The sequence below is a fragment of the Homo sapiens genome, chromosome 20, assembly GCF_000001405.40.
Source record: "Homo sapiens chromosome 20, GRCh38.p14 Primary Assembly".
NCBI classification, from domain to species: Eukaryota; Metazoa; Chordata; class Mammalia; order Primates; family Hominidae; genus Homo; species Homo sapiens.
Genome location: NC_000020.11, coordinates 18,500,420 through 18,519,956, shown reverse-complemented (window position 1 = coordinate 18,519,956; position 19,537 = coordinate 18,500,420). Strand labels below are relative to the sequence as shown.

Genomic DNA, 19,537 nt, shown 5'->3' with positions numbered 1-19,537 from the left:
CAGCCCCCATTACTTCAGTCAAGCTCAAATTTCTTCCTCATCTATTACCTATCTCGGCATAATTCTTCATGAAAACACCCGTGCTCTCCCTGCTGACCATGTCTGACTAATCTCCCAAACCCCAATCTCTTCTACAAAACAACAACTCCTTTCCTTCCTAGGCATGGTTAGGTACTTCTGCCTTTGGATACCTAGTTTTACCATCCTGACTAAACCATTATATTAATTCACAAAAGCAAACCTAGCTGACCCCACAGATCCTAAATCCTTTCCCCACTCCTCTTTCCGTTCCTTGAAGTCAGCTTTAGAGACTGCCCCCACACTAGTCTCCCTAACTCATCCCAACCCTTTTCATTACACACAGCCTAAGTGCAGAGCTGTACAGTCGGAATTCTTACACAAGGAACGGGACCGCGCACTGTAGCCTTTTTGTCCAAACAACTTGACCTTACTGTTTTAGGCTGGCCATCATGTCTCCGTGCGGCAGCTGCTGCCGCCCTAATACTTTTAGAGACCCTCAAAATCACAAACTATGCTCAACTCACTCTCTACAGTTCTCATAACTTTGAAAATCTATTTTCTTCCTCACACCTGACACATATACTTTCTGCTCCCCGGCTCCTTCAGCTGTACTCACTCTTTGTTGAGTCTCCCACAGTTACCATTGTTCCTGGCCCGCACTTCAATCCGGCCTCCCACATTATTCCTGATACCACACCTGACCCACATGACTGTATCTCTCTGATCCACCTGACATTCACTCCATTTCCTCATATTTCCTTCTTTCCTATTCCTCACCCTGATCACACCTGGTTTATTGATGGCAGTTCCACCAGGCCTAATCGCCACACACCAGCAAAGGCAGGCTATGCCATAGTATCTTCCACATCTATCATTGAGGCTACCACTCTGCCCGGCTCCACTACCTCTCAGCAAGCTGAACTCATTGCCTTAACTTGAGCCCTCACTCTTGCAAAGGAATTACGTGTCAATAATTATACTGACTCTAAATATGCCTTCCATATCCTGCACCACCATGCTGTTATATAGGCAGAAAATCACTACACAAGGGTCCTCCATCATTAATGTCTCTTTAATAAAAACTCTTCTAAAGGCTGCTTTACTTCCAAAGGAAGCAGGAGTCATACACTGCAAGGGCCACCAAAAGGCATCAGATCCCATCACCCAGGGCAACGCTTCTGCTGATAAGGTAGCTAAAGAAGCAGCTAGCATTCCAACTTCTGTCCCTCATGGCCAGTTTTTCTCCTTCTCATTGGTCACTCCTGTTTACTCTCCCACTGAAGTTTCCACCTATCAATCCCTCTCCACTCAAGGCAGATGGTTCTTAGACAAAAAAAAAAAAAAAAAAAAAAACCTCCTTCCAGCCTCACAGGCCCATTCTATTCTGTTGTCATTTCATAATCTCTTCCATGTAGGTTACAAGCCATTAGCCTGCCTCTTAAAACCTCTCATTTCCTTTCCATCGTGGAAATCTATCCTCAAGGAAATCACTTCTCAGTGTTCCATCTGCTATTCTACTACTCCTCAGGGATTGTTGAGGCCCCCTCCCTTCCTTACACATCAAGCTCAGGGATTTGCCCCTGCTCGGGACTGGCAAATTGACTTTACTCACATGCCCTGAGTCAGGAAACTAAAATACCTCTTGGTCTAGGTAGACACTTTCACTGGATGGGTAGAGGCCTTTCCCACAGGGTCTGAGAAGGCCACTGCAGTCATTTTTTCCCTTTTGTCAGACATAATTCCTTGGTTTGGCCTTCCCACCTCTATACAGTCCGATAACGGACCAGCCTTTATTAGTCAAATCACCCAAACAGTTTTTCAGGCTCTTGGTATTCAGTGAAAACTTCATACCCCTTACCATCCTCAATCTTCAGGAACGGTAGGACAAACTAATGGTCTTTTAAAAACACACCTCACCAAGCTCAGCCTCCAACTTAACAAAAAGGACTCTGTCAAGAATAGAGCCCAAAAACTCACCAACCAAACAAGTAATTACACTGAACTCCCTTGGACACTCTCTAATTGGATGTCCTGGGTCCTCCCAATTCTTAGTCCTCTAATACCTGTTTTTCTCCTTCTCTTATTTGGACCTTGTGTCTTTCATTTAGTTTCTCAATTCATAGAAAACCACATCCAGGCCATCACCAATAATTCTATACGACAAATGCTCCTTCTAACAACCCCACAACATCACCCCTTACGCCAAAATCTTTCTTCAGTTGAATCTCTCCCACTGTAGGTTCCCACGCTGCCCCTAATCCCGCTAGAAGCAGTCCTGAGAAACATCGCCCATTAATCTCTCCATATCACCCCCAAAATTTTTTCACTGCTCCAACACTTCACTATTTTGTTTTGCTTTTCTTATTAATATAACAACACAGGAATGTCAGGCCTCTGAACCCAAGCCAAGCCATCATATCCCCTATGACCTGCACGTATACATCCAGATGGCCTGAAGCAACTGAAAATTCACAAAAGAAGTGAAAATAGCCTTAACTGATGACATTCCACCTGTGATTTGTTTCTGCCCCACCCTAACTGATCAATGTACTTTGTAATCTCCCCCACCCTTAAGAAGGGTCTTTGTAATTCTCCCCACCCTTGAGAACGTACTTTGTGAGATCCACCTCCTGCCCACAAAACATTGCTCGTAACTCCACTGCCTATCCCAAAACCTATAAGAACTAATGATAATCCACCACCCTTTGCTGACTCCTTTTTCGGACTCAGCCTGCCTGCACCCAGGTGAAATCAAGAGCCTTGTTGCTCACACAAAGCCTGTTTGGTGGTCTCTTCACACGGACACATGAGATAATTATTTCCGATAAAAATGGAATAAAACTAGAAATCAATAACAGAAGAAAGCAAAAATATCAACATATATATGGAAATTAAACTCACTTTTGAGCATGCTCATGTTCAAGGGTTGTAAGACTTAATATTGTGAAGATGTTCATGCTGCCTAGTGAACTACAGATTCAATGCAATCCCTTTTCAATTAACAATTTTTTTTTTTTAGAAATAGAAAAAGTAACCAACAAATTATACGGAATCTCAAAGGACAATAAAGAGCCTAAAAATGTGGCCGGGTGCGGTGGCTCACGCCTGTAATCCCAGCACTTTCGGAAGCCGAGGTGGGTGGATCACAAGGTCAGGAGAACGAGACCATCCTGGCTAACATGGTGAAACCCCGTCTCTACTAAAAATATTAAAAAAATTAGCCGGGCGTGGTGGCAGGCGCCTGTAATCCCAGCTACTCGGGAGGCTGAGGTAGGAGAATGGCGTGAACCCGAGAGGCAGAGCTTGCAGTGAGCCGAGATCGTGCCACTGCACTCCAGCCTGGGCAACAGAGCAAGACTCCATCTCAGAAGAAAAAAAAAAAAAGAAAAAGAAAAAAAAAAGAGCCCAAAAATGTTTAAAAAAAAGAAACAATGTCACCTTTTCTAATTTCAAAGCACATTACAAAGCTACAGTAATAAAAACAGTTTAGTTCTGGCATAAAGACAGACAAGTTTTCCAATAAAACACAATGTAGCAGAAATGCAAACCTCCAACATATGGGTAAACAGTTATTTGAACAGCTATATTCATTGAAGCATTATTCACAAAGGCCAATATTTGAAAGCAAAACAAACTTTCCTCACTGAATAAATGAATAAATACAATTTGTAAAAAAAAAAAAAAAAAGAATTACTGTGGCTGCTGGGTGAAGAATAATGTATAAATAGGCAATGGTAACATCAGGGAGAACAATTAGAAGATTCAAGTAAGAAGGAGTGGCTGGCCCAGGGCAGCTGGTAGTAGGGAGGGGGAAGTGGGTGGATTCTGGATAAATTTCAAATATAGAGCCAATGGGATTTTCCAGTGAATTAGATATGGAACATGAAAGAGAGAGGTCAAGGATAAGTCTAAGGTTCTGAAGCTAAACAACTAGATGATGGAGTACCATCAACTGAGATGAAGAAGGCTACAGAGAACAGGTTTGGAATTTAATCAGTTCTACCTTTTTAGTAGCCTTCTATAATGTCAGGACTTGAAAACAATGCCAGTAGATGCACACACATCAAACCTAAAGGTTAGGATCCTGCTGCCCTCACAGCTTTAAGTCCCCTGCCCAGGTAAGAGACATGGAAGACAAAGGATTTCAAGAGAAATTCAGTATTTAACATTGCTCATTAAATGCACAACAAAGAAATTACCTGTATCACGTACTCAATTGTAGAAAACTGGGGCATCAATTCGGCAGGTTGATTCACCTCAGATATGCCTCCATAAGCTGGAGGAAACTGAAAAGAAGGAAACAGTTTTATTAGGGTTGGCATAACTATATTACACTTTTTATTTTCCATGTGTAAAAATGATAATGATGCCAAGACGAGAGGAACACTTGAGCTCAGGAGCTCCAGACTAGCTTGGGCAACACTGTGAGACCCTGTCTGTATACAAGAAGTAAAAACATTAGTTGGGCGTGGTGGCTCACACCTGTAGTCCCAGCTACTCAGAAGGCTGAGGTGGGAGGATCACTTGAACCCAGGAGGTTAAGGCTGCAGTGAGCCATGATTGCGCCACTGCACTCCAGCCTGGGAAACAGAGCAAGACTCTGTCTCAAAAAAGAAGAAAAAAAATGGTAATGACCATGTATTTATTCTGAAAGCACAAAATACAGGACACGTTAAAAAACATAAAAATCAGCATTTAAAACTTCTAACCCTGCCTTATATTTATATCATTTCTGTCCTCTTAAAAAATATTTTTTAGAGCAGTTTTAAGCTATTGTAACTTCTAAATGTTTAAAAGCACACTTTATGTTGCCCAGGCTGGTCTTGAACTCCTGGTTTCAAGTGATTTTCTCCCCTCAGTCTCCCAAAGTGCTGGGATTACAGGCATAAGCCACCATGCCTAGCCAAAAACACACAAATGAAAACCATTTCTTAAGTTTTGCCCTGCAAATTAAAGGCTGAGATTTCACCTATCTCATCAATAGTTAATAGTCTAAATAAAGCCAAAGACTTTATTTAGGTTTATTATTTTGGCTATTATCAATAAAGTAATACATACGGAATGTAGAAAAATTGGCAAGTCCAGGAAAATAGAAGCAAACAAAGGAGGAAAAGCCCCCCAAAATCCTATCACCTAGAAGCAGCTACTGTCAACCTCCTGGCAGATTTCCTTCCAGACTTAAGCACAGTTGAGAACATCCCATATATACAATGTGGAACTTGTTTTTTCCAGTCAACATAATGCCACAGGCATTTTCTTTTGTTTTTAAAACTCTCTGCAAATGTTTTAAATTCACAGCTTGTGGGTTGGCTTATAATCCAAATAGTCTTTAGCTTTACATTAAAAATACAAGTTGAGGTGCATCTCCCCAAAGTGAGCAGATGATCACTCCAGGCCAGTGACCTCAGAGTGACCAAATGCAAGTGCTGCTGAGGAGCTGACAGGCAGCTTTAGGGGCCTCTGGTTGGGAGAGAAGGGTACAACTGAGCTTGCGAGCCCCAGCAAGAATCTCAGTCAGAGCCAGCAGAAGACTCTAGCCCCATCCTGGCCATGACTGCCCACTGACTGCAGCTCCCAGCAGGGATAAGCTCGATCTATGACTACAGACACACCAGCCACCTCCCAGCAACCTGGAGAGGCCCTGTTCACCCACGCAGTCAGCCAGCTGCACAGAAGGGAGCAAAGGAGACGGAGATCACCCTGATCCCTCCGTCTTCCAGCTCTACATTCATTTAGAGCTAGAAAACCCCCACACTGTCCAGCTAGGAAGGTTACAAAAGATTATTTCCACTTAGGACACATAGACTTGCAGATCATACTTATAAATTGGCAGGTGACAATCTTAGGTAAGCATAATAATACCAAATACTTATATGGCACTTACCATGTGTCAAGCACTGTTCTAAGTCCTTTATACTCATTAACTCAGTTTAATTCTCACAATAATCTCATGAAGTGACTATAGGTATACTATACTATCATCCTAATTTTAAAGACAAGGAAGTTGAGGCACAGGCAGTTAAGTGACCTACCCAAAGTTACACAGGAAATAAGTGGTAGATCTGAGAGCCAAACCCAGGCAGTCTGGCTACAGATCTCTGGCTCTTTAGCCACTATGCTACCCTGCCTTAGAATTACTATAATAAATTATATTAAACAAAGACATTAATCCTAAATGTAATAGGGAGCAGAAATGCTTTTAAGATTTCTATATACTTCTGAATCTCTCATGAAGATATATTTTAAATGACATCTGCTTATAGTTTCCGAACCTATGGTCAGTCATCAATTGTACACTGTCCTCTTCATCACTAGACTTATATGCTGTATCTGAGAATGAGTAATTGTAATTATGATCAAATATATGAACGAATGCATGTGAAGAGCTTAAGATCTGTTAGAACAGTGTACACTATGCTGGACACAAATTTTTTCTAACAACTTTATTGAGGTATAGTTTACGCAACATAAAATTCACTCATTTTAATTATACAAGTCAATGATTTTTAGAAAACGTACAGTTGTGCAATAATTACCACAATCCACTTTTAGAACATTTCCACTACAGGCACAGTTACTTTTTTTTTTTTTTTGACACTCTTGCTGTGTTGCCAGGCTGAAGTGCAGTGGCGCAATCTCAGCTCACTGCAACCTCCACCTCCCGGGTTCAAGCGATTCTCCTGCTTCAGCCTCCTGAGTAGCTGGGACTACAAGTGCGCACCACCATGTCCAGCTAATTTTTTATTTTATTTTGAGACGGAGTCTTGCTCTGTTGCCAGGCTGGAGTGCAATGGCTCAATCTCGGCTCACTGCAACCTCCGCCTCCCGGGTTCAAGCGATTCACCTGCCTCAGCCTCCTGAGTAGCTAAGACTACAGGTGGCTGCCACCACTCCTGGCTAATTTTTGTATTTTTAGTAGAGAGGGGATTTCACCATGTTGGCCAGGATGGTCTTGATCTCTTGACCTCATGATCTGCCCGCCTCAGCCTCCCAAAGTGCTGAGATTATAGGCGTAAGTCACCGCGCCCGGCCTAATTTTTGTATTTTTAGTAGAGATGGGGTTTCACCATGTTGGCCAGAATGGTCTCGATTTCTTGACCTCATGATCCACCCACCTCGGCCTCCCAAAATGCTGGGATTACAGGCATGAGCCACTAGGCCTGGCCGCACAGTTACTTTTATAGAGAAGTCTCTCTTGTGATTTGTGAGCTCCTTCTAGTTTGGTACTTTTAAAATTTTTAAATCAAAAGAAGCTCAACACTGATACCTGGACTCTAAAAGTTAGAAAGATCAGAAAATGAAAATTCAGTAATATACACTATCCAATCAGAATATACTGAAGTCAAGAGAAATATGAAAAACAGGTGCTTTCTTTGGGTCACAGATTCACTGCCTACAGAAAATGTGTAAGAAAAGGGAATTCAATGAACACCCCCTCCCCAGCCCCAAGCAAATGACAAGGACTCAAGAAAACCACTCAACAGAATAAACCACAAATGTTCAAATTCAATATTGTGCTTAACAAAAGTTATCACCCTGAGTTCAGCAGAAACTGCTCACTGCCAGTGTAAACACAAATTCAACCTAACTTAATTTTTTTCATAATACAACTAAAATAAAACATATAACATTTTTTAAAAATAATTCACATACCTGATTTCTTTGAAAACAGAAATTACAGGCCCAAAGTTTTGCTCGATAATCAACCTGACTGTGAGAAAGATAAATATTATAAGTAGGTACCACTTTTATTTTTAAAATAAAATTTTTATTTTTAAGGTAGAAAGCGTTCATTTGTAAATTTCAAGTTCAGTAAATCACACAAGTAAGTGTTTCTATGTGTATGCATAAGTATGAGTATGCAAAACGTTCACCGCAGTTAGAATTCTGGCTAAGTACACCACAATTTCCATCAAACAGCCACAGTGAAGAAATACTAAATCTTTTTCTCTTTTCCAATTTCCTAATTTTTTAAATGTCATGATTTATATAAATTATACATTATTTCTCTCTTGCCTTTTATCTTAACATACTCTTCATGATTTTTTTCTAACATCTTTATTGTCCGGCTATGTGAAACTACTAAATTCCAACATTAAAAGCATATTTCACACACAGGAAAATGCTTCTAGATTTTTAACCTGACTTAGCCCATTTTAAGAAAAGTTGGGCAAGCACATTTCACTTCCTCAAATTGGTTCAAGATAATGCTTCAGTTACTTTTCCCTTATTTTCTACATTTAGAAAATTAATAACCAGTGGCTATGCATTCACATATGGGCACATTAAATAAAAGCAATGAGAATGAAGTAAAAAATGTTCCCTCATATAAAAATTTTATGACACTCTCTACCTGTTTAAAAATCATTTCAAATAATGCCCACATTTAAAAGAAATAGGTCACTATCTCAGGCACAAAAAAAAAAAAAATTACACTTAACAAATTGTTAACAGTTAAAATTTCTTCTGCCTGCTACTTCTCCTTGCCATATAGCATCACTGTACCCGGGAAGCATGAGAAGACGGTCTAAGCTTTCGAATTCTTCTGGGAAATTACTTTAAGAGGAATCAATAAAGTCTACAGTTAAGCCAAAAGCAAACTGATTATCAGCCAAAAAAAAAGTGAATTACAAATCCTCTCCCTCTACCTCTACCTCATTCCTGTAAGATTCCAATTTTATCTGGAATTATCAGGCCAGGGAGATTTCTACAAATATTCACCACTTACTACTCACCACAAGAATCGTTTAGGAGTCTCATCATCTACTACTTATCACAAATTTGATGACCTGCCCAAATTTAATGACTTTTATGAGCATCACATAAAATTCATAATATATTGTATTTATCATTTTTACCAGTTTCAAAAGAATCCATACCAAAGTGGGTTGAGAACAGCTTTACAAGTTGGCCTGCTGCAAAGCACAGGTTCATATTGTACAGGAGGTAGGTCTGGACGTTCTTTCAAAGGAGTAAGGAGACAAGCCAGGGGTACAACCATTCTTGTAGCCTCCAGCCGGCTGGAAGGCCACACGTTCCAACTAAAACGCACACCATCCCGTTCTTCATTCTGCTGGATGAACTCCAGGTATGTCGCCATAGTCTAAAAGGGAACTGAAGATAAAACTTTAATTACCTTAATGGTATGTGAAATTCTGAACTAAATGTCAAAAAAAGAAGATGGGTCATGTAACACAGTGTTTCTCTTTTTTTCCCATCTCAGCTCACTGCAGCCTCCACCTCCCGGGTTCAAGCGATTCTCCTGCCACAGCCTCCCAAGTAGCTGGGATTACAAGCCTGTGCCACCAAGCCCGGCTAATTTTTTGTATTTTTAGTAGAGGCAGGGTTTCACCATGTTGGCCAGGCTGGTCTCAAACTCCTGACCTCAGGTGATCCACCCGCCTTGGCCTTCCAAAGTGCTGGGATTACAGGCGTGACCCACTGTACCCGGCCCAACTAACACAGTGTTTCTTAAATACTTGGGAAGAACCTGTTGCTGTAGAATGACAGTATTTCTTTTCCATCTGATACCCAAAAGTCAGTTAACCGCACAGTTATCATTGATCACTGCTCCTTTCTCACCTCTCCTTTCAAGCACTTAAAAATAAATCAAAGGAGTGGGAGGTTTACAATCACCTGATCATCTCCAAACTACATGTAGTTAAACACTACTACTTCAAACCTCCTCACAGATCACACGTCCTATCAGTCAAGCCAATTTCAGCCCCTTGCTCAAGGGTAAGTCTTGAACCCTGTTTCGGCATCCAACTATCTTCCTCTCTAATCTCCTTCCTTTCTTCCTCTATTAAATTTTACATTCCAAGTGATTTTTTTTTCAGTAGCGGGGGGGTGCTCATTCCCTTCCGCACTTTGTTAACTTTGGAGAAAAGAGCTGGATACTGATCTTCAAGTTTGGTTCATAATGGGAACCAGTTTTGAGCTAAATTATTTCTACTTGGTATTACCAAAATTACTATTATGCTGAGTCTCACCAGAACCTCTTTCCTCACCACGGTTGCTTATGTTCATGCCTTGACAGGCTGTGGTCAAGGCCAGGTGTGGTGGCTCACACCTATACTCGCAGCACTTTGGGAGGCTGAGATGGGCGGATCACGAGGTCAGGAGTTCAAGACCAGCCTGGCCAACACAGTGAAACTCCGTCTCTACTAAAAATACAAAAATTAGCCAGGTGTGGTGGCACGTGCCCATAGTCCCAGCTACTCAGGAGGTTGAGGCAGGAGAATCGTCTGAACTCGGGAGGCAGAGATTGCAGTGAGGCGAGACAATGCCATTGCACAGCCTGGGCGACAGAGCCAGACTCTGTTTCAAAAAAAAAATGAAGACTGTGGTCAGTAAAACTGTCCTACAGGCTAAACTCTCAAACCCAGATGATCCCAACTTCATTGAGTATTTATACATCCTGTTCATATCCTAAAATCTAGGGTAACACACAACTCAGCTATTGGGGTTCAAGGGAACAAGCCCCTCAAGAAAAGTAGTAAAAAGGCAAATTAAAGAGTCTATCAAATTAAAGTGGCCTCTCGCGCCCACTTCCTGAATATGGATAACAACTGTCTGTTATTTTGGGAAGTACCATACTGTAAATAATTTTGATTAAGGCAATAATATTGCATGGCTAGAAAAGCAAATGAATTACTCTACTACATAAAGCCCAGAACACAAGAATTCCAATGTTTGCTCCAACTGAAACTCTAAGAAATCTGTTTATTTCTGGCAACGGCAAGAACCTGAAGCACTGTGTGCACAGGAAGCACTCTGGAGCTTCATGGGAAGCAAAGGGATAACTAAAGTCGGAATGAAAGCAAGTTCTATCACAACTCTCAGCAAGTATGTCAGCAGATTTCATTAAATAACCGTCTCTCTCTCAAAACGTTCTTTATTAAAAGGCACTGGCGGCCGGGCGCGGTGGCTCACGCCTGTAATCCCAGCACTTTGGGCGACCGAGGCCGGTGGATGACCTGAGGTCAGGAATTCAAGACCAGCCTGGCCAACATGGCAAAACCCCGTCTCTACTAAAAATACAAAAATTAGCTGGGCGTGGTGGCAGGTGCCTGTAATCCCAGCTACTCGGGAGGCTGCGGCAGGGAGGACTGCTTGACCTTGGGAGGCATTGGTTGCAGTGAGCCGAGATCACGCCACTGCACTCCAGCCTGGGCGACAGAGCGAGACTCCATCTCAAAAAAAAAAAAAAAAAAAAAGAAGCTACTGCCTCCATCTAATGGTTTCCAAGCATGTACAGCCTAAGACCTGCTCCCTCCTTTTCCTACTGCCTGTTTCCCTCACCCTTCTAGGGTCTGGATTCTTAGCAGTGGACACATAATCCAAGGGGACTATAGAAGGTCCACTAATCATCTGAAGTTATGCGCATGAGGGAATATGCCGTTTTTCTAGGGAGATGGGTCCATAGCTTTTACCAAAGTATCGGGGAAGGTATCTGAAGAGGTAAATAACTGAAAGTATGAATTAGTGAATGAATGAAAGGCCTGGAAAGATAACAGGAGAATATGCCAAAAAATCTGAACCACCCTTATCGCGCCAACTCGTAACTTCTCAGGACACAGTGACCATGTGTATGTAAGAATAAGTGAGGTTTAATCCTTGAAGGGAGTCCAAGGACCTGGGTTCCAGTTCCAGCTGTCATGAAGCAAAAGTCGTTTCACTTGTCTGAGTCTTGAGTTTCTCAACTATAAAACGGGACTTGGGTCCTTCCAGGTGTGCGCACTCCGCAATTCTGGGGAAACTGGAGCCAGAAATCGGTCCCGGCCTGGTGCGGGACGACATCCGCAGGGGACTCCCGGATCATCCATTCCCCCGCTACCCTAAACTGTCAAGAAAAGGCCTCCTCCCAGAAGCCGCTCACCTCGCCCCCGGCAGAAACTCATACCCGTGCCCTCGGCCCTCCGTCACCTATGCGCCCCGCTCACCTGGCCGGAGCCGCTCACCTAGCTAGAGCCGTCCTCACCCACAGCTGCAACAAGCAGGCTCCGGCTCCCACCGCCAAGTCCAGCTCAGCTCTCAACCGATTGGCCAGCGCCCCAGCGCGTCATGCCACGGCGCTGTCCACTGGCCAATCAAAGAGCGCTTCTCCGACGGACTGGAGGAAGCGAGAGACTCAGAGAAGCTCTGCCACCATCTTGGAACAGGGCAAGACAGGTGTATGTCGCACTTCAAAACGAGAGTTCCTCGGAACACGTTTCCCCACCCCTAAACGTTTCTGTTTCAGAAAACCCCGGCGCCTGCCGCACCGTTGCCTAAGCGCAGCCAGCGCTCCTCAGAGGTTCGCCCTGATACAATATGACATCCGCTCGTCTCAGTGGGAAGTCCCGCTGATCGCCTTAGCTACCGGAAAGCGAGAACGATGACGTATGCTCGCGGAACAGGGAGCTGCACTGGTTGGAAGAAACTAAGGCTGCCGGAAGAAGGCATTAGCATGCGGAAGGGGCGGGGCGGGTGGTGAGCGCGGCGGCGCTTACGCACTTGCTGGTTTGGGAGTCGGTCTCTGTGGTTAAGTTTGAAGTACAGAGGTGTGGTGGTGCTTCACGTTACAAGCTCTCCTACCGTCGCTTGCTGTAATGTCTTGGCGCTCTCAGCGGAGGCTGGCACTAGCGCACAGTCCCTGTCATCCTTCTACATGGAGATAAATAATTGAGAACTGTAATATTCAACCATTTTAGGAGAGTAAGCTTAGAAATACATGGAACATAACTTTCTTTTAAAAAATAATTCCAACGTTTAGATTTAGGGGGTACACTGCGTATTTGTTACCTGGCTATGAGGTTTCGAATTCGAATGAGCTGGTCACCCAGATACTGAGCATAGTACCCAAGTTTTTCAGCCCCTCCCTGCCTCCCTCCCCACTCTAGTAGTCCCCAGCGTCTATTAATGTCACCTTTGTGTCCATGTGTGCCCAATGCTTAGCTCCCACTTTCAAGTGAGAACATGTATTTGGTTTTCTGCTTCTGCGTTAATTCTTTTAGGATCATGGCCTCCAGATGCATCCATGTTGCTGCAAAAGGCGCGATAGAACACAACTGTATAAAGCCACCACAACCATTTTTACACACGCTGACAAGTGGCAAACATGAACACATCATTACTGTGACTCAGAGTTGTAGTCTCTGTAGCATATAAAAATAAGCAAAACGATGTAAACATAAAATTATGCAAGAACATATCTAGGCATCCAAGAAGTATCCATTAATTAGCTCAATTTAATACTAAGTTTTAAGTTATCTACAGATCATAGAAATTATTAATAGTTTAAGGCACAAAGAAACAATTACTGTTAAATGTGAGAATGATTCAGTTTTGTTGAACAAATTCACATTTTTCAGGATCTTAAACAATGTAATGTTAATATTAGCTTATCAATAGTAAACTTTTATAAATTTAGGAAGTTCAGATTAATTATTCTCGGTAAGGAAACAAACTCAAAATGTACACATGTATAATACTTAACACTGAGAAAAGACATAGCTGGGATTTTTTTTAACCAAAACTTAATATTATTCGCCAAAGATTTGCCTTGATTATTTGAACCTGGATTCTTTCTGTACTAGCAATTTCTGTAAGAAAGATTGTTATAGGACCATCAGGTTCGATTGTCCATTGTGCGGTAACAGAAAGAATAGGAGTTGCAGCAGATAAAGAGTTCCATAATCAAGTGGCAGCCAAATGAGGAGACAAGAGCAATCCTCAAATCCACCTCCCCAAGAGATTAGAGATGGCATTTTTAAGAAGTCTGGAGGGGCAATGGGCTAAAGTGTGGGGATTTCTGATTGGTCAGGAAGTGAGAGGTGAAGTCATGGGACAGGGAGATGAAGAAACTTCATTCCAGTGTTGTTTCTTGGTGGAGGTCTTTATTTATTTATTTAAAAAAATTTTTTTTTTGTAAAGCAGGGTCTCACTTTGTTGCCCAGGCTAGTCTCAAACTCCGGGCTTCAGGCGATCCTCTCACCTTGGCCTCCCAAAGTGCTAAGATTACAGGCGTGAGCCACTGTGCCCTTCCTGGTGGGGATCCCTAGACAGTTTGGCATCAGCTGTTTTGTGGGAATTCAGGATCTGAAAAATACCTTAAGCAATTCCTGGGTACAAAGAGCTAGTGTCAGAGATTCTGTGGATAGGAGCAATCAGGGAGTAGGTGATCAGTGTGCTGCAAGGCTTTTGGTTAGTTAGCAGCTGCAGGGAAGTGAATTGAAGGGCACCAATGCACCCTGGTCAGTGCCTAACTAACCTGCCTAAAGGCTGGCTTGTAATCTTGTTAACCCTGTCAGGATGGTTTCAGCATTTTTAAGAAATTTTGCATGCATAAGTTTAATTTACTTATTTTCTGGAATTTTAGAAATAATTGATTTACATGTGTTTGTTTCCATAAGTGAATTATAACAGAGCTCCTTTAAGACATGAAATAATATAACTTATTAAAACTTTACAAAGGTAGTAAGATTTTTTTACTCCCACAACAAGAGGGGAAGGCCTTTGTTGATTACAGCCGGGAAGACACATAGACACATAGCATATAGCTTTGGTTCTGCAACTTTGGCCACAGGTCGAAAGTAAATTCAGAAACATAAAAATTCAGTGGACTAGATAACAAAAAGCTGTTCTCCTTCCCAATGGGCATGGAAGTCTTAACTGATTTGAACTCATAAGTAGACAAAAAGGCAAACAAACAAAAAGACTAACAAACCAGATTTTTCATCATCTCTTATCCAAAAGAGAATAGATCTCTAAAAACTATTAATTCACTTAAAGAGATCACCAAATGTTCAGAATGTAAAACCTAGTTCCTAATTTTTTTTTTTTTTTCTGAATGAGGCAATGTATTAACCCAGCATGGTTTGTTCCAATGCTTCTTGTTGGCAGCTGCCACCTGTCCGGCAATTCTGCCCAGATCTCTCTGTCCCTGAGGTGTCAGTTTGCGGCCCCCATCTTGGTCCTTTTCCACCATTTTCAGCCCCTCCAGGGCTTGGAGGACCCGGCGGAGGACACTCTTGAAGCCTCGGCCGAAGTGGCTGGGCATGACGCCGTTTCTCTGACGTCCCCATAGATCTTGGTCATGGAGCCAACCCCAGCGCCACCCTGGAGGTACAGGTGCCGCGCTGTGGAACCGGCTCGTGTGTAGAACCAGTTCTCAACGTAGGGAGGAAGCTCTTTGTGCTTGGCCAGCTTGACGGTGTCCACCCATTCGGGGACTTTCAGCTTCCCGGACTTTTTGAGAAAGGCTGCCAGAGCTCTGACGAAGTCCCGCTGGTTCACGTGGTTTACAGGAACTCCAGGCATCGTGCGGCTTCCGCGCTGCCAGCCAGGGGAAAGGGAGCAACGGGGTTTCCCGCGAGTTCCTAATTGGTGTCGCCATTCATGGGGAAAAATCCGCCAGCTGTGGGCGAATCAGAAACAAAACCCAAAATCAGTAAGGAGGAGAAAGAAACCTAGGGAGAAAGTCAGCAACGCTGTAGTACTATTGCTACTTGGTATTCACTCCCGGAGCCAGGAAAAAATGTGCTTGGGCTTAGCCCCATGGGGTGTTCTTCAGTAATGTGGTTTACCTGGTTCTGTCAGGTGAATCCATTGGGATGTTGGTGAAAGCTTCAAAACTGTTAAAGTGTTTCAAAAGGTAAAATTATGGCCTTCATGCAAATATAAAATGAACATGTGCCAAAGATCTTACTTAACTCATTCATTGATTTTAATTAATCCCTACGACCAGGAGGGATGTTCAGACTGGTTCTAAGGAGAATTTGATTTATAGTGACATATTCTCTATCACACAAAATTGATTTGCATTGCTGTGGACAGGAATAGTTTTCATTGTTGTGGGCAGGGAACATTTGCATTACTATCTTCTATAAGTTAATTTCTATCTCTACAGAGTTGTAAAATAGCATACTCAAAGGCAGAGGTACATCCCTCCTACGGCAAATGACCCAGGGGATTTTTTGTTTTTGAAACGAAGTCTCGCTCTGTCGCCAGGCTGGAGTGCAGTGGCGCGATCTCAGTTCACTGCAACCTCCACATCCCGGCTTCAAGCGATTCTCCTGCCTCAGCCTCCCGAGTAGCTGGGACTATAGGTGCACACGACCATGCCTAGCTAATTTTTGTAATTTTAGTAGAGACAGGGTTTCACCATGTTGCCCAGAATGGTCTCGATCTCTTGACCTCATGATCTGCCCGCCTCGGCCTCCCAAAGTGCTGGGATTACAGGCATGAGCCACCACTCCCGGCCCCCAGAGAGTCTTTTAAAAATGCACAGCACTCCACAGAAAGTTCACCCAGTAACCTCTTTTGACTATTTCAAAATCTTTCATAATTTTTCTGACATATTATCATCATCTGTAGCCTGAGTCTAAATTCTTTTATTTATTTTATTTTATTATTATTATTTTGAGATGGAGTCTCTCTCTGTTGCCCAAGCTGGAGTGCAGTGGCACGATCTTGGCTCACTGCAACCTCTGCCCCTGGGTTCAAGCGATTCTCCTGCCTCAGTCTCGTGAGTGGCTGGGATTACAGGCGCAGGCCACCACACCTGGCTAATTTTTGTGTTTTTAGTAGGGGTTTCGCCATGTTGGCCAGGCCGGTGTCGAACTCCTGACCTCAGGTGATCTGCCCACCTCGGCCTCCCAAAGTGCTGGGATTACAGGTGTGAGCCACCACGCTCAGCCTAAATTCTGTATTTCTGGGTCAGACTTTTCTACCTAACATCCGATTCAAATATTCAGCAACCTGCTGGGTTCTTCAAAGTGTGTTTACTGTGCACTGGTTACCAATTCAGTTCACTGCATCTTGGGCTGTACTTCTACTACCTGCCCGAGTCTGGTGAGCCAGAACACTCACATACACAAGTTACATGAAGTGGATTTATTACTCACAGAGAAGCAGCAAGGGACAGCAGAAACCTAGGATTCAACATGAGCTGGTCTCTCAAGACTCAGGAAAGCCACACGGTGCAGATCGAGTCTCGTCTGTGCATGCCCACTTGTATTCTAGCTGGGAAAAGCCGTAAAAGCATTGAAGGACATCTTGTTTTTAGTGAGGCTAGAACACAGCCTGGGCTGTTCTGGCTATTTCCTCCTTATCTCAGAATACTATATTCCCAGCACATCGGAATTATTCTTCAGAACTATGAGCAAGAAAGTGGGGAGAACTGGGCCAGTCCAAGGCCGTCTGGAGAAATGTCCTGCAGATATCACTGGGTATGCTTGCACATCTCGATCTTAATATGTCCTAAACTGAATCCATCATCCCCCTGGCTCCCAGTGAACCTTCTGCCTCTTGTACATCTTCACTTGAAGATGCCATTCTTCTCCCAGTTACTGAGTCTATAAAGTAGGAAGTTATCCTTGGCTCCTCCTTATTTCTAACACCTCCACCTTGAAGGTGACACTGAATCACTTGGTCTTGTTAATTTGTTACTCTATTTCTCAATTTCATCTACTTGCTTAGTTCAGGCACTCATCCTCTGATTGGATTCCTGCAACAGTCTCTCGAATGATTGTTTTGCCCAAATTTTGCCCGATCTAAAAATCACATTGGTTGCTGGATAGACTTCTCTAAATCACATATCTGACCCTACTATTCTCTTGCTTAAAACCTTACATAATTTTCCCATCATTCACAGGATACAGTAGGGGCCCCTGTGCTACTCACGGGCCTCAATGATCTACAGATCTCAATCCTCCAGTAATGAACCACTGTCCTTCCCAGCCCACATGTGCTGTTTGTTGTTTCAGTGCCCTTTTGCATGCCTTCCTCTCTGCCAAGAACAGCCTCTTCACCTCCCTTCCTTTCCCAGGAGCTGCCATGTGTGCTTCAAGACTTTGAAGAAGGCTTCCATTGACCTCCTTTCTCCTCAAGGTGGCAAAACCAAAATTCAAACAAACAAGTAAACAAAAGCAGTGGCAGAAAGGAAAAGTAACCACAGAAGAGAGGAGAATAGATTTAGACCGTGAGTTTGAAGACTTAGAGACAAACTTCCCACAGAAAACATCCTGACCTGAAAAGAAAAATCCAGGCAGAGGAAGATTATTCAGCAGGAGGGCCTCAGTGGAGGGAGGGTGATCCCTTTAGAAGGAGGGCCTCAGTGGAGGGTGGAAGATCCCTTTAGAAGGAGGGCCTCAGTGGAGGGTGGAAGATCCCTTTAGAAGGAGGGCCTCAGTGGAGGGTGGGTGATCCCTTTAGAAGGAGGGCCTCAGTGGAGGGTGGGTGATCCCTTTAGAAGGAGGGCCTCAGTGGAGGGTGGGTGATCCCTTTAGAAAGAGTCAAACTGTCTCAGCAAGTTCTTGAGAACAACTTCTTCAATATTAGCAAATGAGGTACCAAATATAAAGGTGCATTTTCAGATTTTTAAAAATTCACAAAAATGGCCGGGAGCAGTGGCTCATGCCTGTAATCCCAGCACTTTGGGAGGCTGAGACGGGTGGATCACGAGGTCAGGAGATCGAGACCATCCAGGCTAACATGGTGAAACTCTGTCTCTACTAAAAAAAAAAATACAAAAAAAAATTTAGCTGGGCATGGTGGTGGGCGCCTGTAGTCCCAGCTACTCGGGAGGCTGAGGCAGGAGAATGGCGTGAACCCGGGAGGCAGAGCTTGCGGTGAGCCGAGATCGCGCCACTGCACTCCAGCCTGGGTGACTGAGCGAGACTTCATCTCAAAAAATAAAATGGACAAAAATGTTGGCTTTTAGCTTTGAAACTAAAACTGTTTCTTCTGTGATAATGATAAGCTCAGAAATTGTTTGTACAAGAGATAAAAAGTAGAAAACAAAACGGATATATGTAATTATAATCTTCTCAATTATTATTGGCATAAACAACCTAAGATGAGAGTTAATGTCACTGCCTTTTTTCTCCTTCTAGAAGAATGAGCTAACTAAATCTTAAGGGAAGCTAGATTGCTAGATCCTTTTTCAGCCCCCAGTTCCTGTTTAGGGAGTATCACTGCTTCTTGAACTAAAAACTACTAAGCAAACAACCAGTTGGTTATAGGAATGTCTCTGCTTGTTTTATGTTGACATTTTATTCCTTTTTTTTTTTTTGAGACAGAGTCTCACTGTGTCACCCACGCTAGAGTGCAGTGGCATGATCATAGCTCACTGCAGTCTCCCATGCTCAAGTGATCATTCTACCTTAGCCTGCTGAGTAGCTGGGACTACAGGTGTACACCACCGTGCCTGGCTAATTTAAAAAATTTTTGAAGACATGGAGTCTTGCCATGTTGCCCAGGCTAGTCTCAAACTCCTGGGCTCAAGCAATCCTCCCGCTTTAGCCTCCCAAAATGCTGGGATTACTATTTTTAAATTTGAAAGAGTTATATTGAGGTATAATTGATGTACCTTAAGCTGCACATATTTAAAATGTACAATTTATTAAGTTTTGACACCCATCACCACAATCGAGATAATAAACATATATATCACCCCCAAAAGTTTCATGTCCCTTTGTTAATGGTGGAGGGTGTCCAGTTTCTTAGCGTCTTGAACAAACAATTAGACGAA

The 19,537-nt window shown here is 43.1% G+C and overlaps 1 protein-coding gene and 1 pseudogene across 5 annotated transcripts in view, besides 2 other annotated features; both read right to left on the bottom strand.

Moving 5' to 3' along the window:
* The window catches only part of SEC23B (SEC23 homolog B, COPII component), a 53,868-nt gene extending 41,459 nt beyond the window's left edge, over positions 1 to 12,409 (bottom strand). For 2 of the 5 annotated variants that reach the window (NM_032985.6, NM_001172746.3), the window contains exons 1-4: positions 11,967 to 12,017; positions 8,901 to 9,135; positions 7,675 to 7,732; positions 4,221 to 4,307 (exon numbers count right to left, since the gene is read on the bottom strand). In NM_032985.6, the coding sequence (NP_116780.1) occupies positions 4,221 to 4,307; positions 7,675 to 7,732; positions 8,901 to 9,121 (366 nt within the window). In that variant the 5' untranslated portion in view covers positions 9,122 to 9,135; positions 11,967 to 12,017. Of the gene's footprint in view, positions 1 to 4,220; positions 4,308 to 7,674; positions 7,733 to 8,900; positions 9,136 to 11,659; positions 12,018 to 12,287 lie in introns of those variants that run through there. The other 3 variants (NM_032986.5, NM_001172745.3, NM_006363.6) reach the window with 3 other exon arrangements.
* Positions 11,747 to 11,796: an enhancer, noted in NCBI's record as "active region_17591". NCBI's record gives its function as "activates an Ori minimal core promoter by ATAC-STARR-seq in GM12878 lymphoblastoid cells {active_cell/tissue: GM12878}" and the evidence as "EXISTENCE:reporter gene assay evidence [ECO:0000049][PMID:35858748]".
* Positions 12,147 to 12,476: an enhancer, noted in NCBI's record as "active region_17590". NCBI's record gives its function as "activates an Ori minimal core promoter by ATAC-STARR-seq in GM12878 lymphoblastoid cells {active_cell/tissue: GM12878}" and the evidence as "EXISTENCE:reporter gene assay evidence [ECO:0000049][PMID:35858748]".
* On the bottom strand, positions 14,853 to 15,359 carry RPS19P1 (ribosomal protein S19 pseudogene 1; annotated as a pseudogene).